At 49.1% G+C, this 22,758-nt stretch overlaps 1 protein-coding gene and 1 pseudogene across 1 annotated transcript, besides 2 other annotated features; one reads left to right on the forward strand and one right to left on the reverse strand.

Annotated features, from left to right (window-relative positions):
• Positions 1-560: 560 nt before the first annotated feature.
• On the reverse strand, positions 561-1,411 carry KRT8P30 (keratin 8 pseudogene 30; annotated as a pseudogene).
• Positions 7,009-7,278: a silencer, noted in NCBI's record as "silent region_12338". NCBI's record gives its function as "represses an Ori minimal core promoter by ATAC-STARR-seq in GM12878 lymphoblastoid cells {active_cell/tissue: GM12878}" and the evidence as "EXISTENCE:reporter gene assay evidence [ECO:0000049][PMID:35858748]".
• On the forward strand, positions 7,026-9,515 carry CDK5R2 (cyclin dependent kinase 5 regulatory subunit 2). The gene has a single exon (NM_003936.5). The coding sequence runs from the start codon at positions 7,181-7,183 to the stop codon at positions 8,282-8,284; it is 1,104 nt and encodes a 367-aa protein (NP_003927.1). The 5' UTR covers positions 7,026-7,180; the 3' UTR covers positions 8,285-9,515.
• Positions 10,674-11,873: an enhancer, noted in NCBI's record as "MED14-independent group 3 enhancer chr2:219828036-219829235 (GRCh37/hg19 assembly coordinates)". NCBI's record gives its function as "activates an origin of replication core promoter dependent on BRD2, BRD4, P300/CBP and CDK7 cofactors, and independent of MED14, by STARR-seq in HCT116 cells {active_cell/tissue: HCT116}" and the evidence as "EXISTENCE:reporter gene assay evidence [ECO:0000049][PMID:35650434]".

The raw sequence follows: 22,758 nt of genomic DNA on the forward strand, positions 1-22,758 counted from the left end.
TGGAATGAGTAGCCAGAGTACAGCTCCCAGAAAGCACGGTCAGGACTTGGGGCCAGCATGGAACCTGGCCCAGAATTAATATTCAGAGCTTCAGAAAATTAAAGTGGCCTGCAACAGGACCAGAAAAGGGGACCAGTGCCTAATATGCTGTCGGTCTTTATGACCCTAGGAAGCAAATCAAACCACCCCCAGGAACAGTCTGAGTAGCAGTGGGTATGAGCACAGTATCTGAGAGGAAAGCACAGATATAAATTTGGGTTTCAGAAACCAAACAAAAAGAAATGATAGTACCACCCTGGCCCTTTAATGAAAAATGTTCTAATGAGAAAAAAAATGCTAATGGCACGGGTCAGGCAAAGCTTTCCTCCTGCTCTGTAAAAATAATGATGACAGTATAATTTGTTAACAATTAACATTTATGAACACCATGCACATGTGATATACAAGCATTGTTGAGCATTGCATGATTAAATAAAATCTTACAACCTTATGATGATAGTCCATTTTTTTTTTTTTTTTTTGCCAGTTGGTAGAACTAGCTGAAGTTTTATTTTGGGGGGAAAAAACGGAATTGTTTTGTAGCTGGAGATATGGGCAAAGGAGGTGTCCCACGCAGTAAACTCCCCTGCAGGTGGGCTGAGGGCTAGGGCTGAGCCTCAGGTGGGTCTCCCATTCCCTGTGCTCCCCTGCACAGTGGCCTCCCTCCCGGACTCTGGGGCAGCCACAGAAGGGGCAGGCTGGGAGGGGCTGCCACAGCTATTCACTTGGGCAGGACGTCAGAGGACTCGGACACCAGCTTCCCATTTCCCATTGTGGGTCTCGATCTCCCCAACCATGGCCCTGGTGGAGCTGGTGCAGCTGAAGGAGCTGGAGCCGGCGCCAGAGCCAAAGCTGGAGCCCAGGCTGTAGCTGAGGCCAAGGGCTTGTGAGGCCCCCATAGGCTGAGCTCAGACCACCTGCATAGCCACTGGTGGTCTTCTTATGGATACTCACGTTCTGCATCCCAGACTCCAGACGGCTCTCCTCGCCCTCCAGCAGCTTCCTGTAGGTGGCGATCTCGATGTCCAGGGCCAGCTTCTGGTACTCACCCAGCTGCGTGCCATGTCCTGCTTGGCCCGCTGCATGGCGGCCTCCAGCTCAGACAGCTTGGTGTTGGCATCTTTAATGGCCAGCTCCCCCCACTGCTCGGCATCTGCGATGGCGGCCTCCAGGGAAGCCCCCTGGCCTTTGAGGCCCTCAGTCTCAGCCTGGAGCCTGCTGATGTTCTGGTTCATCTCGGAGATCTGTCTTTGCACAACGCAGGTCATCCCCATGCTTCCCAGCCAGCGTCTGCAGCTCCTCATACTTGATCTGGTACGTGCTTTCAGCCTCAGCCCGACTGTGGATGGTGATCTCTTCCTACTGCACCTTGTATGGTCCACTTTTATAGACCTCAGAAGAATTAAGAAACTTGCCCCAAGGGCCCCAGGTCATAAGTGGAGGGGCTGGATTTGAACATAGACCGAATGACCTCAGAACCCACATAGGAGACCCTGCACTGTCTGTCCCTCTTAAGGTGACAAACATTTTTTGTGCGATTTGTGAATGAGTGAGATTTCTTCTTTGCCCCTCCCTCTACTGATAAGGGCATCTGAGAAGGCTGGGCGAGGTGGCTCATGCCTGTAATCCTAACACTTTGAGGCTGAGGTGGGCAGACTGCTTGAGCCCAGGAGTTAGAGACCAGCCTGGGCAGCATGGTGAAACTCCATCTCTACAAAAAGTACAAAAATTAGCCAGGCCTGGTGATGCATGCCTGTGGTCCCAACTACTTGGGAGGCTGAGGTGGGAGGATCCCTTGAGCCCAGGAATGAGTGAAGATCATGCCACTGCACTCTAGCCTGGGCAAAAGAGTGAGACTTTGTCTCAAAAAAAAAAAGATGTGGGGAGAGATCTGGGTCAGTGAGCCCCTTGTTCTGGCCCAAAGGAGGCCTGGACTCCAGGGTTCAGCCGCTTTCAGGAGGCAGCTTCTGAAACTCTAGGGCCCCTGAGTGATTCCTGTAAATCAAGATAAGAAAGGCCTTCATGGTGGTGAATACAGTCTGGGGACTGAGTACCATGCAGGGGTTGCTGGGGGCAGATGAAAGAAGAGGGCCTGGGGGCAGAGAGGAGAGGGCTGTGTTCCACTCTAGGGAGCATCTGAGCTAGAGTTCTCGAAGGCCCTTCTTTCCCCGCAGAGCCTCCAGTGAGGTTTGCACACCTTCCTGGGGCTATGCCTGATAGGCAGAGGAAACCTTCCATCTAGGGCACAAGGGTGGGAAGGCTGGACTCTCAGAGGGTCTGTGTTCATCGATGAAATCAATATAGAGGAGGAAGGGACAGGATAAGGGATATGGAACCAGATGAAGACCCAGTCACAGTGGCAGTTTCTGGCAGCCACCTGCCTGGTTGAGATGGAAACGCTGATTCCAGCTCCAGCCCCCAGACAGGCTAAGAATATCCCAGAAAAGCAACAGCTACCACCCCCACCCTTCTTGATCTGCTCCTACATCTGTAGTGCTATGCTGGGCGCCAGCGGGGCCTGGGAGGAGAAGGAGTGGGGGACGAAAGGGAGGAGGCAAAAAGGGGGCTTGGTGGAGGCAGAAGGTGAACCAAGACTTAAAGCTTCTGGTGAGTGCTGGGAGGACTGGACAGAGAGAGCTGTTCTCAGGGGACAGTAAAGGAGGTGAAGGCAGGAGCCAGGGAGTTGGAGGGAGATCAGGACAGAGGATGGGAAAGGAAGAAATGGCCCCCCTTCCATCAAGGAAAGCAGCAGAGCTTAAGGCAGGGAAAAGGAGTCACCAGCTCACCCCTGTCTTCTCTGTCCCCTTCACCCTGGGCCCTCCAGCATCTCAGCATTGGTCCCTTCTCTCCCCACCCCAGAGCATCACATTCCTCATCTGTGCTCCCAGCCCTATTCACTGTTCAAAAGAAACTATATTTGGGCTCCTTAATTAAGTCCTTCTAGCAAACAGCCTGCGAAATGGGAAGACATGAGAATTTGGGTCTCCCTCCTGACAGCTAGCAGCACCTCCTCTGTCAATTCCTCTCTTCTCTCTGCTTACCCCCTCCCCCCTCCACTGTTATCTGTAGAGGGGTTCTGCTCCCCTCCTTTGTTTTAGCCACCCACTTCTCCCCTGGGGTAAGGTCCTCAGGAGAGGGAGAGAAGTCTGGGCTCGTGCATACCCACCCCCTCTGCACACCTCAGGAGCTGAGACTGATGGGCAAGGGAGTTGGGGGTGCCAGGGTGGGGGGGGGGGCAGCAGGATCCAGGCACTCAGATGCCCAGGCTGGGTCTCCATCCTGGCTGTTTTAAGAACCTGTGTCATCATTAGCCTCCTTGTAGGGGCCCCTACAGGGAGGTGCAATGACCTTGGTTTCTGGGGCCTTTGATGTTTACTGGGGATATCCTGGGCCTCAGCCATCTTGCCCTCCTCTTCTTTGCCTTCTCACCTTTCAGGGGCCCCTCTAAAGCTTGGAGGGACCTAGGGAGATTTACATTGCTGAGAGCCTAAGCTCCCCTCCCCTTCATCTCCTGGGGTGAACCGCAGAAGTGCAGGCCTCACATGGATGCTGTGCACACAAAGACTGAGCCCATCAGACAGAAACAGATTAGGGAGAAGCAGACAGGGCTGGAGCTGGAGAGTGAAACAGATTCACAGGACAGATTTTGTTTAGAATCAGAACTGTGGAGTTGAAAGAGGCTTTAGGAATCCTCCTCTAGTCCAATTCCTAAAATGTTATCTTGTTCTTTTAATATTCATTTTTATCTGATAATAAGAGTCAAATCCGTAGAACCCTTGCATTTTAATATGATGAAACCGAGTCCCAGAGAGCTGAAATTACTTCCCCAAGGTCATACAACTGGCAGCCATAGACTAGGACTCCCGTGTCCTGCCTCCCAGACTATGGCTTCTCAGAAGGGAGATAAGAAGAGCAAAAGGGAGGCAAAGTGTGAGCAGCATTGTCCGGAGATGTTCTCTTAAAAGATGGGGCCCACCTGCCCAGGTTGGGTGAGTGAGAGGAGCATCTCTGGTGAATCTGATGGGATGCACTCATCAATAAGGCCAGATCCTATCCAGGCTAAAACCTCAGTCTAGGCCCTCCAGTTCTTGGTCTGGGCCTAGAGTATTTGCCTTAAAGAACCTTCAGGAATAACCAGTAATCTGAATAGGCACTGTTCTAGGTAACCTACAGAGCAATGAAGACAGACAAGGAGACTGGCCTCAGGGGCTTTCCCATCTAAGGAAGTCTGACACAACCAGCACTGCCCCAGAGGAACATAAGGGAGATGGAGAGATGAGAAGCAACACAGAGATACTATTATAATGAAGATAGATGAATCTCAGAATATGAACCCAAACATAACCTAACCAGAAGAGTACACTTGCAAATGTGGGAAAGCCACCAACCTTCTATGAAGCCCACCTCCTCCATGAAGTCTTTCTGGTTTCACTAGGCTTATTCCCCTTGGGCTCCCCCTGCAGAAACATAATAACCCTCCCTCTCAGCTCTCAATGCCACCGGCTTATATACAACAGCAATGTTGTTACTCTTTCTGGATCTCTTTGATTAGCTTGTCTGCTTGTCTTTAAAATTCCATCCATATCCATCTTGCACATCTTAGACCCAGAGCCCAGCCCTTAACCAAGTTGTTATGTAGCCACTGTTGCTGATGGGAAAAGGCTGGAAAGGCTGAAGTCAGAAAGAGTATTAGGTCCCTTCCAATCTATCAAAAAAGCTTCTTGGAGGAGGTGGGAGTTCAAGAGCTTGACATTCTGAGAGAGGGTTCTGGCCCAGTGGAAGGAGCTCAGAGATTCTGGAGAGATAACCAGAGCAGGAGGGTGGGGAGCATGTGAGCCAGAAACAGGGTTGGAGGCAGAGCAAGGTGGAAAGTGAGGAAGGGGAGTAGGACCCTCTGAGGCACCTGCTTTGGGGTCCCTGAAGCAGAGGAGGAAATTCTTGGTTCTGACCAAGAGGACAATAGGAGGTCAGAGCTGGGCCGGGAATAGGGTACCACAGTGGTGACACTCTGTGGGTGCTGCTTAGAAGACGTGGTCCTAAATGACCTTAACAATAGGCCTTATGCCAGTGAGGGACTCCTGGGAGCAGCGCTGGAAGGACTCATGTGCCATTTAGATCCACATGCCCAGTGTTTCCGCCAGTGCAACTCAGTCTCTACAGGGCTTGTCCTTAACTACCGGTGAACTGACTATTCCTTGGTTGGCAGATAAAGAGTGACTCAGAACACCTTGTAGGAGGAAGTGGGGCCAATTACAGGAGCTGAAAAGAGGGAACACTTTCAAGAACTATGAGGAGAATGAGTTTGGGAAGGTCAGCTTGGGCTGCAAGAAAATAAAGATCAGATCCTAGGGAGCAGAGATACCCTGTTGAAAAAGTGCATATTGGGTGCTGAGTTAGGGAGAAGGTACAAGGCTGCATGTGCACAGTGGTAAAGAGGAGGGGAATGGAGACAGGCAGACCACAGGCCTCCAGGAGGGTGTGAGTGACCAGGGGCTGTGGAATGGCTGGGAAATTCTGTACCTCTGGTAGCTGGAACTGCAGCCCAAGTGGATTCTAGAACAGCCTATCTGCAGTGACACACACACACACATATATGCACAAACCAACCCTGACAGCAGTGGATCCTTGGAGCTATGTTTGCGGTCTGTGAGGAGCATGGAGGTGACTCCAAGGGCAATCCTTAGAATTTACTGAAATACATAGGCAGGGGTTTGGCTCCACATGGAACCCATATGCACCTACAAGGTCCACTTACTTAAGAAGCCTGAAGGCTCTTGTGCTGGGGGAGCCACAGAGAGCAGGCTCCAAGAAGGGTGGACATGATCTAACAAGGCAGATAGAATAGGTCCAGAACTAGCTGTGCTCAAGACCTGCAGGTAAGGCCTGGGGAGTCCAAAATCCAGGGCAAAGGGCTGATGGGTACTCAGGAGGTAACAGACAGACCCAGAGAGAAGTGGACAGGACCCAGCCTAACAGCTTGCTCCTGGGAGTGGGGACAGCTGGAACCTTACCTGCAGGAAGCATTTAATGATGAAACCCACCTCAACCTGGACCCAGGGCTGGGCTGGAGGTTGGTCCAACCCTCTTGGGCTTCCGTCCACACAGGAGGCTCCGTTCACTATCCAAGACTGGGTAGACCAAGTGATCCAATTTCTAGCGTTTCCCCAGGGACCAACCTTATCCATCATCCACCCAAGTATGAGATCTGTGTGTGTTAGTGGGGACAACCAACCGAGAGGAGCTGCCCAGGGACCAGAGCCAAGGGTCTGCCCCACAGGCTCAGTTGCAGAGAATCAGGACGGCAAGCAGAAGCCTCAGGGGCATATTTGAGACCTTGCTGCTCCCCCTCTCCCCCTCAAGCTGGAACCCCCAAGAAGGCGGGTTGTGACCTGCAAGAAGGCTCTGCCAGGACTCCCAAACAGGCAGGGCAGAAATGTGCCTGCTGCAGCCCCCCTAGCGACCTGGGGGGTGGGGGGCGAGGTGGGGTCGCGAAGAGGAAACAGACCTGACAGTCACATTGGAGGAGCCAGTGCAACGCGACCCATCTGGGACCTGGGCATCCGGTGAGGGCACTCACTGCTCACACTGGCCCCCCACACAAATTCAAAGGCAGAGGGAAGGAGAGCTGTTCCCATGGTTTATCTGCTACCGCGACCCAGTGCATCAGAACAAGCTGGTCCAGGCCCTAGGATCCGGAGGAGGCAGGAGCAGCCACCACCCCTTCTCAACTCTGACCCTGAGGAGGCCACTCGAACGACGACCACCGCCTTCCCCTTCCTCCGCTCGGGGGAAGGGAAAAGACTCAGGGCGGAGGGTGGGGATTGGGGCGGGACTTGAAATTGAAGTGCGAGAGTCTATTGGTCATTGGAGCTGCCCATCAGGAGTGCAACTCGGGAGCGGATTGGCCGCGTGAGGCGGGGCACGGCGCGACGAAAAAAGGGGCCCAAGGGGTGGGGCTGACGCTGCAGCTGGCGCAGCTCAGGATTAGAGCAGCGGAGCCGCCTAGCAGCCACCTTCCCCCGCCAGTCCGCGCGCCCGGGCCGGGGCTAGGCCCCCCACCGCCGGGTCCCCCGGGGCTGCAGTAGCAGCGGCGCCGCCCGCGGCTCCCGCTGGGGCCTGGGCGCCGGCCCCGCTCTGCAGGATGGGCACAGTGCTGTCTCTTTCGCCTGCCTCCTCGGCCAAGGGCCGGAGGCCCGGCGGGCTGCCCGAGGAGAAGAAGAAGGCGCCGCCCGCGGGGGACGAGGCGCTGGGGGGCTACGGGGCGCCGCCAGTGGGCAAGGGCGGCAAAGGCGAGAGCCGACTCAAGCGGCCGTCCGTGCTCATCTCGGCGCTCACCTGGAAGCGCCTGGTGGCCGCGTCCGCCAAGAAGAAGAAAGGCAGCAAGAAGGTGACACCCAAGCCGGCATCCACGGGCCCCGACCCCCTGGTCCAGCAACGCAACCGCGAGAACCTTCTCCGCAAGGGCCGGGATCCCCCCGACGGCGGCGGCACCGCCAAGCCCCTGGCGGTGCCAGTGCCCACCGTGCCCGCGGCTGCCGCCACCTGCGAGCCACCGTCGGGGGGCAGCGCGGCCGCTCAGCCGCCGGGCTCGGGCGGGGGAAAGCCTCCGCCGCCGCCTCCCCCAGCCCCGCAGGTGGCGCCGCCGGTGCCTGGCGGCTCGCCGCGGCGGGTCATCGTGCAGGCGTCCACCGGCGAGCTGCTGCGCTGTCTGGGCGACTTCGTGTGCCGACGCTGCTATCGCCTCAAGGAGCTGAGCCCGGGCGAGCTGGTGGGCTGGTTCCGCGGTGTGGACCGCTCGCTGCTGCTGCAGGGCTGGCAAGACCAGGCCTTCATTACGCCTGCAAACCTGGTGTTCGTGTACCTGCTGTGCCGCGAGTCGCTGCGTGGGGACGAGCTGGCGTCGGCCGCCGAGCTGCAGGCCGCCTTCCTCACCTGCCTCTACCTCGCCTACTCCTACATGGGCAACGAGATCTCCTACCCACTCAAGCCCTTCCTCGTGGAGCCCGACAAGGAGCGCTTCTGGCAGCGCTGCCTGCGCCTCATCCAGCGGCTCAGCCCGCAGATGCTGCGGCTCAACGCCGACCCCCACTTCTTCACGCAGGTCTTTCAAGACCTCAAGAACGAGGGCGAGGCCGCCGCCAGCGGCGGGGGCCCACCGAGCGGGGGCGCGCCCGCCGCCTCCTCGGCCGCCAGGGACAGCTGCGCGGCCGGAACCAAGCACTGGACTATGAACCTGGACCGCTAGGGATACCCAGGGGCCGCGCCCATCCCCCGCCCCAGCCCCTGACACACACTCGGACCCCCCGGGACCACAAAGCCACCGCCGCTGTTACCGCCGCTCAGCGCCCCGGCTGGGCGGAGGAGGAGACGCCCATGCCCCTCAGGGGAAAGTGGAGACCGGGACACCAGAGGCCGCGGTGTTTGGATTTGCTGGGCGTGGAGTGGGGACGGAAGATGAGCGCGGGAAAGGCACTCCAACCTCACTCTTCCCGTCTGTCTGCGCCCCCATTTCTCCATTTCTGCCGGGGTCTCCCCCTTCCCTTCAGCCCATTCCCCCTCGGTTTTATCCATTTCCTTGCCTCCTTTTTGTGTCTTCATTTTTCCTCCTGTCTGCATTCCTCTCTCTCTCTCTCCCTCTCTCTCCTGTTCCTCTCTTTCTTCCTCCCTCTCCCTGCCTTTCCATTTTCCGTTCCTTGGGTTTGTGTGTCTGCATCTCCATCTTACCCCTTGCCTGACTGTACCCCGTAGACCCCTGTTTCTCCTCCTGCACCTGTGTCCCCATCTGCCCTTCTTGTTGCTCCTGTCATGTGTCACCATCTTCCCTCCTGTCTGCCTTCTTCCTCCACTTGTGTCAGCTTGCATTTTTTTATTCCTGACTGAGTCACCACACCCCTCTCCCCTGATCAAAGGGAATATTAGTTTTTAATTTGGATCGACTGAGGTGCCAGGAGAAACTGCAGTCCCAGGTATCCAGACAGCCACCAGGATGGTCCCTCGCCCCACCCCCACCGCCTCTCCCCACCTTTTCCAACGTGTTGCATGCTGGGAGCTGGGGGGTGTGGGGGAAGGGGCTGCCGGCTTCTTTCAGGAGGCTGAGGTTTGGAGGCAAAATCAACCTGGGAGACCACCCCGGCCGCGGCGCCTCAGTGGACAGGTGGGAGGAAAAGAAAACTTCTTACCTTGGAGGAGGGACATCCCGCTTCCTTATCCTTAGCTTTTTTGTTGCTCCTCCCCACTGCCCCTTTTAATTTATTTGGTTGTTTGCGGAGGGAGGGGGGAGGGGGGTAGGCTGGGCCGGGAACTGTCCGAGGTGCTGAGCTGGGGCGGGACCGGAATCCTCCCGGTAGGGTACCAGGGACTGAGTTGGGCCTGGGGCCGTGTCCAAGGTGCCAATGATGCGGGCCGACAGAGCGGGCCGCACTGTCTGTCTGTCCGTCTGTCCCGGAAAGAACTATAAAGCGCTGGAAGCGCCTGCAGATGGTTTTGCGCCGGTCTTTCTTTGGGCCCCGGGAGGGAGGGAGTGGGAGTGGTAATGGAACTGTCACAGACAGAGCAGAAAGGCAAGAGATGGGGCTCTAGTAGGGGAGATCAAGTACCTGAGAACTTCTCCTCCTCCCCATCCCCACCCCCGCCATCGGCTTCCATTTTACAGAGAGTAAAGAGTAAAGCGAGGCAGCTGAGGGTGAGGCCTGGTGATAAAGCTGAATCCATCCCCCCACTTCCGCCTCCATCTTGTCTGACCTAGCTCCTCATTAATGCCCGGGCCACTTAGAGACCGAATCATGGGGACAGCGGAGTTGTGCCCTTTCTGTGATGAGACCCATTGAGGCAGAACTAGCTAGTCCTTATTGCTATTTTTCCCTTCCTCCCCATCTCTCCCCACCATATATCGGTCAAGAGTACAGTCGGGCCTAAGTCTGTGTTCACCACTCCCAAGTGGGGCCTGTCTGCCATACTTCTCTCCTCATCCCCCAACCACCATGGGGCTGCTTCGACGATGCCCAGGTCGCACGCCCACTCAGGAGTCTTGGGGGGTCCATCCCTGCTTGAGACTCAGACCCTTGCCCTTTATCCCCAAGAAGGGGCAAACAAGGGCAGTTGGGGAGAAGGAAGCCATTCTCTGGGATTGAAACAGGAAGGAAAATGCGCTATTTAGCCTGAGATCCCTGCTCGGTCCCCATTGCCTTCTTAGCCACGTGGCTAAGCGCCCTGTTCACTGTTTCATTGGCCCAAAGAGGCCTGGCTTCAACAGAGTGCCCGCGGCTCCGACCCTAGTCTGGCCGTGGCCGAGAAGATCCGGAAAGAACCCGGGGGGACCTGCCAAGACGAGGCCCGGGTTCGCTGTCCGTGGTGCTGAATGGCGCGCTCGGGCGGGGTCGGGGCTTGTAAGGGCAGGAAGAGTTGCAGACTCGGCCTCAACTAGGTCTTCCGGATAATTTGGGAATAGGGTGTCATCTATTCTGGCGGCGAGTTATAGAAGTCTGGCTCCAGAACCCAAAAATGTCGGTCCCCACTTGCCCTCCCGGGACGACAGGACTCGATTCCCCTGGCCTCAGCCCAGCGCCCTTGTAACCTGCCTGGAGCCGGAAATCCCCAGTCCAGATTTGTGAATTGAGTTCCCGGAGGGAGGGGGAGAGCTGGCGGAAGGGAAGGCGGGAGCAGCCGCCCATTGGCTGGAATTTGGCGCAGTCAGCGCGGTGCCGTCATCTCTCTTGGTTTGGGAGGAGGGAGGGAGGATCACTAGGGTCACTCCGCGGCTGTCGGCTGTCGCCATAGTAACCAGACTGAGCGGGCTGGGCAGCCGCTCTACTCTCCCACCTCTGGCTGGGGAAACAATCCTGGTCCACCTTATTTGGAACTAGCTAGTGAGACTAGCTATTTGATTAGAATTTCTGAATTGGAGGAGCCTAAAGGGGATGGGAAAGAGAGCAGAGACCCTACAGAGACGCCCCCCTCAACCCCCAACAAACATCCTGCCTTCGGATACTGCCCCTGAACTCTTAGACACAGCACCCACCCTTTACTGCACACACACACCCCTCCAGGAACTTGTGGTCTGGCACCTGGAGACGTAGAATGAGAAAAAGGCCACAGTGAGTAACATTTAGTTAAATCTCACTTTTGACATGCCCCAAGGCATGAAACACTGCCATAATCCGATTAGGAGGGGAGGGACTGGAGAAGGATCAACAAGAATACATGGAAGAATTAGCCTCCTGGGTCAGACTTATCGGAGTCCTGTTTTCTCAGGGATTGAGTGGGAGAAGTTGTAAGGAGAAAGACCCAGAACAGTCTTCTGAGAAGGCAAGGGGAGGAGGGAGTAAGTGCAGAAACAGAATAAGGTACCTTCTTTCCTGACGCTGAGTTAACCTGGGGAAAGTGAGTCCAAGCTGCTGATAAGGTGGTGCAGGGGGACCAGAATTTTAGAGAGAAACCAGAAAGGAAGAGGGGTGGACTAAGGAAAAGATGGAGGTGGAGGAAAGGAGACAGAAACCCAGCTGGAGCAATGACTCAGCAATTCCCCTAAGCAAAGGGCTGGAGTGACTCTCCCAGCACAGGAGCAGCTGTGAGGGCAGGAAAGCAAATGGACAGATAACCGGTAATTCACCCCTTCACATGACACATGTTGATGCGTACACTGACGCATAACCAAAGGCACACATTTTAACCCAGAAGTGGACACAAATGCATTTATACTGGTGAATCATAACATATACACACCTCTACTCCTTTCCTCCCTGTCCCCCTTCCTGGAACAGAGGACATTCTGTTTTGGAGCCATGTTCCCCTGTCCCTGGAATACCTCGCTACTTATTAGAAAAGCAGAAATGCAAAAAATCACAGACATGTGGGGGGAGTTGTCATGGTAACTGCTTTGCCTGCCAGGCGGGGTGCCCAGCAACCAGAGCATCTAACAGTATTCAAGAGGACATCCTGTGGTCTCCACTTACTGGGATCCTACCCCAGGCAACCAGATGGGCAGCTTTTGAAGATGTCTGCAACAGAGGCTGCTGAAGAAGCCCCTCCAGTCACATCATCATGATCAGGGACAGCTGGAAGCCAGGTGTATGGGCCTGATCTTCTTTAGGTACCCCACTTTAAGTAGCACTTCTGGTCTCTTTAAATATAGACGTTTGCTGTGAGTGGCTTCAAGACAGCAGGATTAACACTTCAAAGGCCCTTATTTAAGAACATGACCTGACTGGGAGTGGTGGTTCACACCTGTAATCCCAGCACTTTGGGAGGCCGAGGCGGGTGGATCACTTGAGGCCAGGAGTTTGAGACTAGCCTGGCCAACATGGTGAAACCCTGTCTCTACTAAAAATACAAAAATTAGCTGGGTATGGTGTTGCGTGCCTGTACTCCCAGCTACTCGGGACTCAGGAGGTTGAGGCAGGAGAGTCTCTTAAACCAGGGAGGTGGAGGGTGCAGTGAGCTGGGATCACGCCACTGCACTCCAGCCTGGGAAACAGAATGAGACCCTGTCAAAAAAAAAAAAAAAAAAAAGTATGAGCTTCCCTCTCAGCATTTGCCACAAAACCTACAAAGAAGGTCATATCTACACACACAGGATAGGAGTGTAGATGAGCGGTAGAAAAGTTGCCTAGTTGGCCGGGCGCAGTGGCTCATGCCTGTAATCCCAACACTTTGGTAGACCCAGGTGGGCAGATCACTTGAAGTCAGGAGTTTGAGACCAGCTTGGCCAACATGGTAAAACCCCGTCTCTACTAAAAATATGAAAATTAGCCAGGTGTGGTGGCACATGCCTGTAATCCCAGCTACTCGGGAGGCTAAGGCAGGAGAATCACTTGAACCTGGGAGGTGGAGGTCGCAGTGAGTCGAGATCACACCACTGCACTCCAGCCTGGACAACAGAGCAAGACTCAATCTCAAAACAATAAATAAATAAATAAATAAATAAATGCAAAAAATAAACAATTAGCTAAGCATGGTGGCACACATCTGTAGTCCTAACTACTTGGCAGGCTGAGGCGGGAGGATCACTTGAGCCCAGGAATTTGAGGCTGTAGTGAGCTATGATCACACAACGGCACTCCAGGCTTGGTGACAGAGTGAGACCCTAATTCCAAAAGAGGAAACAAAACACCTGGAGAAAATATGGATTATTTATTGTTATTATTATTATATTGTATCTTGGGGTGGGTGGAGAATGTCTTTTTAGCAGTAAAAAGACCTTAAAGGAACAGACTGATTCATCTGAGACTCCATTTAAGCTTTTGAATGTCAGAGACATAGAGAAGAAAAAAGAAAAAAGTTCATCACATAACCCAATTTATTTTCTTCATAGCATTTGTTCCCACCTGATAATTTTTTTGTTATTGACTTATTTTGTATCCTTTCAATAAAAACAAGGTTGAAACACCAGTGACAAATGGAGAGAATGTATTTGCAACACAATATATTTTTCAATAGAAAAATAGCTAAAACTGGAAACAACTAATTCGCAAAAAGAAACGTAAGCAGGCCAGGTGTGGGGGCTCATGCCTGTAATCCCAGCACTTTGAGAGGCCAAGGTGGGCAGATCAAAAGGTCAGGAGTTCAAGACCAGCCTGGCCAACATGGTGAAACCCCGTCTCTACTAAAAATACAAAAAAAAAAAAATTAGCCGGGCATAGTGGCGAGCGCCTGTAGTCCCAGCTACTCGGGAGGCTGAGGCAGAAGAATGGTGTGAACTCAGGAGGCGGAGCTTGCAGTGAGCCGAGACTGCGCCACTACACTCCAGTCTGGGTGACAGAGCGAGACTCCGTCTCAAAAAAAAAAAAAAAAAAAAAAAAAAAAATATATATATATATATATATATATACACACACACACACACATATACAAAAAATTGGCTGGGCTTCGTGGTGTGTGCCTGTAATCCCAGATACTTGGGAGGCTGAGGCAGGAGAACTGCTTGAACCTGGGAGCTGCAGTGAGCTGAGATTGCGCCACTGCACTCCAGCCTGGGTGACAGAGCAAGACTCCGTCTCAGGAAAAAAAAAAAAAAAAAAGAAAGTCAGAAAGAAAAGAAATGTAAGCAAATGATAAATAAAAAGATACTTACCTTTACTATTGACCAAAGAAATTCAAGTCGAAGCAGCAATGAGATATTACATCTCTTACACTGACACAGATTATCAAAATGGAAAATTCCAACCATAGGGAAAGCATGGGAAAATGAACATGCTAATTAGTCTTTTGGGGAGATTGTCTGGATCAAAACGTGAAAGGCAGCATGCTCTTTGATCTAGCTACCACATTTCCAGAAATTTGCCCTAAGGAGATAAGTGGGAAAAGATCTGATGCATAGATGCCTGTCATACTATTGTTTATCATAATAAAAAATTGGATACAACCTAAATGAACATTAGAAGGAGATTAAGTAAATTGTGATAAAGTGATATTCACTGGGATATTATGGACCATTAAAAATTATACATCAGGCCGGGCGTGGTGGCTCAAGCCTGTAATCCCAGCACTTTGGGAGGCCGAGGCAGGCGGATCACGAGGTCAGGAGATCAAGATCATCCTGGCCAACATGGTGAAACCCCATCTCTACTAAAATACAAAAAATTAGCCGGGAGTGGTGGTGCGTGCCTGTAGTCCCAGCTACTCGGGAGGCTGAGGCAGAGGAGTCGCTTGAACTTGGAAAGCGGAGGTTGCAGTGAGCCGAGATCACACCACTGCACTCCAGCCTGGCCACAGAGCAAGACTCCGTCTCAAAAAAAAAAAAAATTGTACATCAGTCTGGACACGGTGGCTCACACCTGCAATCCCAGCACTTTGGGAAGCCGAGGCAGGTGTATCACCTGAGCTCAGGAGTTTGAGACGAGCCTCATGGTGAAACTTCGTCTCTACTAAAAATACAAAAATTAGTTGAGCATGGTGGCTGTGCCTGTAGTCCCAGCTACTGGGGGGCTGAGGAGGGAGGATCACTTGAGCCCGGGAAGTGAAGGTTGCAGTGAGCTAAGATTGAGCCACACTACACTCCAGCCTGGGCAGCAGAGTGAGACTGTCTCAAAAAAAAAATTGTACATCAATATATATTTATCAACATGACAAAAATGGCACGATGAAATGGAAATAGGAGATTGAAAACATTGTCATATCATCCCATTTCTGAGAGAGAGAGAGATTTAAACAGCTGTCTCCTTCTTGTTATTTAGATCTCGACTTAATAGACTCCTCCTTCTCATCATCATCTCCTGAATTAATCTCAATCTGTCCCACAGTTACCCTCAATCACATGCCCCTAATTTATTTTCTTCATAGCATTTATCTTCCTGAAAATATATTATTATGACCTAAAAAAGAAGAGAATTATAAGGAAAGAAAGAAAAAGAGAAAAATAGAGAGGGAGCAAGAGAGAGAGAGAGAAAGAGAGAGAGAAGGAAGAGGGAAAGAGAAAGAGATAAGGAAGGAGGAACAGGAAAAAAAGTGACACTGGACAGTGTCTGGAAAAGGAGAAACACATTTCTGCAGCCATGTCCCCCACTCCCCTCTCACACATCTCCAAAGTCCCTTTGCTCCTTCCCCCAACCCCAAGCTGTTTCCAAATCCCTAGGGTTTAACAATGTCCCTTGCTGGATAAGGGGAGTTAAGCTCCTGTCCAGCCTGGCAGCCATGTCTATTACACACAAAGCACATATAAGGTGCATGCCCACACACAGAGCATGGACACACATATGTGCACACTCTTACAAGGATCCATCCAAGAGCATTTAAAAAGCACTTCTCTATCTTTTTCATAAGTGCCATAGAAGATCCACTGTCCTTTATTCAAATAATAAAGCTAGGGGAAATTTTTCTCTTCACATTAACTTGTTCATATCCTTTGAATAATGAGAATTAGCACAGTGCCTGGCATGAGGTAGGCTCTCAATAAATAAGAGCTGATGTTTATTCAGGTAATAGCCATTTTTTTATTATGATAAATGTTATGATAAGCATTTGTGTGTCACGTCTTTGCCCACTTACCTCCTTAGAACAAAGAATAAAAGAATAAATGGACTAAAAGGTGTGACAGTCTGCATGTTTACCTTTGGTTGCCAATAAGCATGCCACCAAATACACATTTTTAGAACACACCTATGGTAACTAACTTCTCCTAGATGTTTTATCTTTTCTTTTCTTTTTTTTTTTTTTTGAGATGGAGTCTCGCTCTGTCGCCCAGGCTGGAGTGCAGTAGCGCGATCTCGGCTTACTGCAAGCTCCGCCTCCTGGGTTCACACCATTCTCCTGCCTCAGCCTCCCGAGTAGCTGGGACTACAGGCGCCCGCCACCATGCCCGGCTAATTTTTTGTATTTTTTAGTAGAGACAGGGTTTCACCGTGTTAGCCAGGATGGTCTCAAACTCCTGACCTCAGGTGATCTGCCTGCCTCAGCCTCCCAAAATGCTGGGATTACAGGTGTGAGCCACCTCTCCCGGCCTCTCTTCTCTTTTCAATTGTTCTTGATTTGTGCTAGGTTTTTGGTTGGCTTTACTTTGCATTTTAAAACACTTTGAATTTTATCCTGGTGCTTTTATAGTGTCTTCATTTCATTCTTTAATCTATTTTGGAATTCAACTTTGTATGTGGCGAGAGGTAGAGATATAATTATTTTCCCCAAATGACTACTAAGTTGTGCCAATCGTTGAACAGTCTTCCTTTACCCCCAGTAAATACCATCTTATTATTTATGAAATTCCCACACATATGAATCTATTTCGAGGCTTTACTCTGTTCCATTAATCTGCTTAACTACTGCTGTTTCAAACCACTTCTTTAATAACTAGTTTTGCAGCATGCTCATTATTCTTTTGCTAAAATTGTCTTGTCTTTTTTTTTTTTTTTTTTTTTGAGATGGAGTCTCACTTTGTCACCCAGGCTGGAGTGCAGTGATGCAATCTTGGCTCACTGCAACTTCCACCTCCCGGGTACAAGTGATTGTCCTGCCTCAGCCTCCCGAGTACTGGAACTACAGGCATGCACCACTGTGCCTAGTTAATTTTTGTATTTTTAGTAAAGACAGGGTTTCACCATGTAGGCCAGTCTGGTCTCGAACTCCTGACCTCAAATGATCCACCCACCTCAGCCTCCCAAAAGCTGGGATTACAGGCATGAGCCACAGTACCTGGTCGTGTCTTGTCTATTCTTAATCACAGTACAGAAGAACTTGAGAACCAAGCCTGTCAATTTCCATAAAATCCCTTTGTGACTTGAATTGGGACTGCATCACTTTTATAGATCAATTTGGAGATATGTCAATTTTGCAATATTGAGTCATTCCACCCAGGAACGTGCTCAGTCTCTTCATTTACTCAGGTCTTCTTACTTCAGTTCCTTAGTGAATATTTATAGCTTTCTTTATTTAGATGTTTCTCATGTTTTCATTAGGTTGATCTGGGAGCATATTTGTATTGCTGTTGTAAGCTTGCAATTCTCAATTCCTTTTCTTCTTTTTACAGGGTTATAGGGGAGCCGTATTTTTTTTTTTTTTTTTTGGTATGTTGATCTTATACCTTACTGGAATTTTATTAGTTCTAACCGTGTTCTAGTTGAATCTCTTGGATTTTATAGGTAGGCAGTCATATCATCTGTAAACAAGGAAATTTTAGTATCTTCCCTCTCAATATTTACACACAGTGTATATCTTTTCCTGTCTTGTTGCATTGTCTAGGCTCTCCAGTACAGTGTTCAGTGGTAGTAGTGATGACAAAATTAAAAGGGATAAAAAAGACATCTTTCCTTTTCCCTTTTATAAGAATACTTCTCATATTTTACCAATGGCTTTTTAAATTTGTCTTTTAAATTTGAATATCTTCTTTTATGTACATTTTAATATGGTAAGTCATGTAAAATCATTTTCTGGAAGTTGATACAATTTTAATCAAAATAATTATTCAAATTACCTGTCCTGTATAGAGCACCAACGGAGCCATGCTGGACTACATGGTCCTGAGCATGTGCAGTTTGGGGATATAGGAGTGGGAGGTGGCTGAATGTTCCCCTGGGGGTCCTTTCTCCTCCCTGACATTTAAAGTTAGTGTGATGTGATGCACGGAACAAAAGACTATGAGTCAGAGGTTTGAGTCTCTCCTCTACCATATATTAGCTACTAATCGAAGACAGCAATTCAATCTCTTTGAATTTCAGTTTTCTCATCTATCAGATCGGAATAAGATCTTGGGTTAGTGTCTATCAGGTGCCTATGATAGGAATGACATATTACTGTTGTTAGGGTAAGAACTATTGCTATAGTAGTCAGCACTATTAATAACTATTAACAGGGACTAAACAATGACCAGGACAGGGACAGAGTCCAGAATGGGGCCCTGGGGTGCTCTAACCAGCTTTGCTGGCCCCTGAGATAGTGGGGAGCCCTGAAGGCCTGGGCCTCCCATGAGCTATCCTGTGACCTGGATGACTGTGTTTACTCCTTGCTGCCAGGCCTTGGTCCCAGTGTGACCCACGTGCCTCTCTTTAGAATGCCAGCCAGAGGACTTGCTTCTGCTGTCAGTATGTAGATACTTTTGCCAGCCTGGCCTAACATAGCAACATTCTTGAGTCTAGGTCTTTGGGCCAGCAGGCCAGGCCCCTTTTGGGACTTCCCACTCCAGGGATCCCCCCAGGCTGGTTGGAACCAACAGGGAAGAACAGCTGAGTCCTTCCTTCACAATTCCCCTGCTGATCAGGGGTGAGAGGAGATGCATCTTGGGACACTAGGCCCTAAGAATGGCATGCACACACGTTGCTAATGACTGCACTAATGTCCATGCATCAGGGTATAGTAGAACTATCCTGAGATTTGCAGCAAATCTGGACTCTGCTATTTCCTCACTGTGGGAACTTGGGACTTTGTTTTCCTCATCTGTTATATAGGAATCATGATCATCTTCCCACTACATATATATATATATATATAATATTGATATATTTTATATATAGAATATTGATATATTATATATAGAATATTGATATATTATATATAGAATATTGATATATTATATATAGAATATTGATATATATTATTATATACAATAATGTATGACGTTAATATGTTATATACAATAATGTATGACGTTAATATGTTATATACAATAATGTATGACGTTAATATGTTATATACAATAATGTATGACGTTAATATGTTATATACAATAATGTATGACGTTAATATGTTATATACAATAATGTATGACGTTAATATGTTATATACAATAATGTATGACGTTAATATGTTATATACAATAATGTATGACGTTAATATGTTATATACAATAATGTATGACGTTAATATGTTATATACAATAATGTATGACGGTAATATGTTATATACAATAATGTATGACGTTAATGTTATATACAATAATGTATGACGTTAATATGTTATATACAATAATGTATGATGTTAATATGTTATATACAATAATGTATGTTAATATGTTATATACAATAATGTATAATGTTAATATGTTATATACAATAATGTATAATGTTAATATGTTATATACAATAATGTATAATATTAATATGTTATATATAATAATGTATAATATATAAGAATATATATTATATATATTTTTTGAGATGGAGTCTTGCTCTGTTATTCAGGCTGGAGTGCAGTGGCATGATCTGGGCTCACTGCAACCTCCGCCTCCCGGGTTCAAGCGATTCCCCTGCCTCAGCCTCCCAAGTAACTGGAATTACAGGCACCCGCCACCATGCCCAGCTAATTTTTGTATTTTTAGTAGAGACAGGGTTTCGCCATGTTGGCCAGGCTAGTCTCGAACTTCTGACCTCAGGTTATCTGCCCACCTTGGTCCCCCAAAGTGCTGGGATTATAGGCATGAGCCATATGCCTTGCCTTTTCCCATGATTAATGAGGCTGCTGCAAGTATCATTTGAAATTGTGTCTATGATGTGATCTGTAAGTTGTAAAGCATATAATAAATACAAGGTGGTCCTGAGTCTGGCCCTCATGTTCATGGTCATAGACATGGCCATTGCACAAATGTGTGTGCAAGATGCCCTAGAACTGTGTGTCAAAAGTAGAAAACCAGGGGGAAAGGTTGGGGGATTGGGAAGGTGATCATAGGAAAGGAGGCTGACTCCAAGAGGTTATCATCGGAGCCTGGGATCTTTTGTCACTTTTCCCATCCATCTCCCTATCTTGTGTTGCTCCAGATCTCTCCATACTGCAGGATAAAAACGGACAGTGCTGCCTGAAGCCTCCCTGACAACCTCCTGCTGTGTTGCTAAGCAACTTGACCTCCTCTTCCAAAAAAGGAACCTAATGCTCAAGGTCTGGCCTTCCAGCCTCCTTTAGTTACTTCCTTCTTCTCTGACCTCAAGGAAGGAAGGAATCTCAAGGAAAGAGCATCTCTGCCTCATGGAGGGAGAACTGGGTGTAGAATTGGAGGATTAGACTGGTGGGAAATGGGATGAACTTGCAAGGCGGGTCTTTGCTTCTGGGCTGATCAGTGTGGGGGATGACAGTTATAGAGCAGCTTTCTGTGCTGGACTCTCTAGGCACAGGCTCTGTCCTTGCAGCAAACCAACAAGGCAGGTATGATCAGTGTTGCCATTTTATGAGGTCACTGAGCCTCACAGAGAGTAAGCAGCCTTCTCAGTCTCACAGGGAATAGGCAGTGGATGAGTCTGAAGCCACGCCCTTCTGGGTTCCTTCTACTCCACCATGCTGTTCGAGATATTTGCAAGGGTCACTGTAGACCACAAGACTTCTAAAATGCATTTCTCACTTTGCTATTTGTCTGGAACCCCTGGTGAATGCTGGAATAGAGCACCTGGCTTGAGGTTGAGCTGGGGTTTGGGCATATAGTTCTGCTACTTCCTTGGCCTCTCAGAATCTCAGAATCTGCTCATTCTTCCAGTAGTGAAGATCAGAGAATAAGGGGTGGGGATAGAGTGAAAACTGGGCTGGCCGGGCTTGAAATGCATCTCTACCACTTGGCAGCTCTGCGATCCCATGCAAGTTATTTAACATTTTGTGCCTCAGTTTTCCTAATTTATAGAATGGGAATAACACTAGAGCCAACTCCAGAGGGTTGTAAGAATTAAATGAATGTAAAGCTCTTTGAATAGTGCCTGGCACATAAAGGTTCAATAAGTATCAGCCCTTATTATTATTACTTCTAGGAGGCTTGAGCATATAAACCTCTTTCACATCCTTAGTGGTTAAGAGAATTCACTGCCACTGAAATCAAACTAGGTCCGCATCCTGCACTGCCCTTTCTCACTGTGTGACTTTAGACGAGTTTCTTAATCCCTCTGTGGCTCAGTTTTCTAATCTATAAAGTGAAGAAAATAATAATGTGTACTTCAGGGTATTATTGTAAAGATCAAATATAATATGGGTATCAGTTATGGTAATGTTAGTTGCTGTAACAAGAAAACTTCCCACTTCCAAATTTCATGTAATAGTCTACATAGAATCATGGGAAGTAAGCATTACTATTATCTACATTTTAGAGGAGAAAACTAAGTGTCAGAATGGTGTAGACATATTCCTAAAGTCACATAGCTAGTAGCTAGCTGAGATCTTACAATTTGAAATTCAATACATTCTTTTGTTACTTCATAAAGAAACGGAGGATGTTCTGAGTATAGGAGGCCAACTCATGTGATAGTGGTTGCGGAGCCATAGCCAGTCAAGAGGCTTGTTCTTGGTGAAGTTCACCATGTGGGCCCAGGACAAGGACTGGGCTGGCGTGGAAAAGTAAGCCCAGGTTCCTTTCCAGGGCATGTGGAGGGCATCTGATGGGGATGAGAGGGAGAGGAGGCAGGTGCTTGCTTTGTTTTGGATTGTTTTGTCTGCTTGTTTAATAGAAAGCACTGATATATGTAGCAAGGTACTTAAATCGTTATTTAATCTTTATAGCAACTCTATGAGGTAGGTTAAATGGATATTATCATTTTACAGATGAGGTAATTGAAGCACAAAGAAGTAAAGTAACTTGAATAACGTCACATAGCTTGCAAGTGTCAGAGCTTTTAAACCCTGGAAGTCCAGCCCAAACCTCCAAACCACTAAGCTATGTTGTCTTTTGTTTTCAAAGAAGGGTATGCTAGGAAAGAAACAGCAAACAGGATCCAGTGGGAGAGAATTCTCAGAAACAGAAAAAGTTAGCTGGGGCCAGGCACAGTGGCTCATGCCTGTAATCCCAGCAATTTGGGAGGTCAAGGTGGGAGGATCATTTGAGTTCAGGAGTTCAAGACAAGCCTGGCCGACATGGTGAAAACCCATCTCTACTAAAAATACAAAAATTAGCTGGGCGTGGTGATGGGTGCCTGTAATCCCAGCTACATGGGAGGCTGAGGCAGGAGAATCACTTGAACCCAGGAGGTGGAAGTTGCTGAGAGCCAAGATTGCACTAGCCTGGACGACAGAGCAAGGCTCTGTCTCAAAAAAAAAAAAAAAAGAAAGAAAGAAAGAAATATTCATCCAGGCACAGTGTCTCATGCCTGTAATCCAAGCACTTTGGGAGGCCAAGGTGGGAGAATCATCTGTAGCCAGGAGTTTGACGCCAGCCAGGGCAACACAGTGAGACCCCTATCTCTACAAAAGCAAAATAAGATTAAAACAAGCTGGGCATGGTGGTGCATGCCTGTAGTCTCAGCTACATGGGAGGCTGAGATGGGAAGATCTCTTGAGCCCAGGAGTTCAAGGTTGCAGTAAGCTATGATCATGTCACTGTCCTCCAGCCTGGGCAAC

This window comes from Homo sapiens, chromosome 2 (assembly GCF_000001405.40).
Source record: "Homo sapiens chromosome 2, GRCh38.p14 Primary Assembly".
Lineage (NCBI taxonomy): Eukaryota > Metazoa > Chordata > Mammalia > Primates > Hominidae > Homo > Homo sapiens.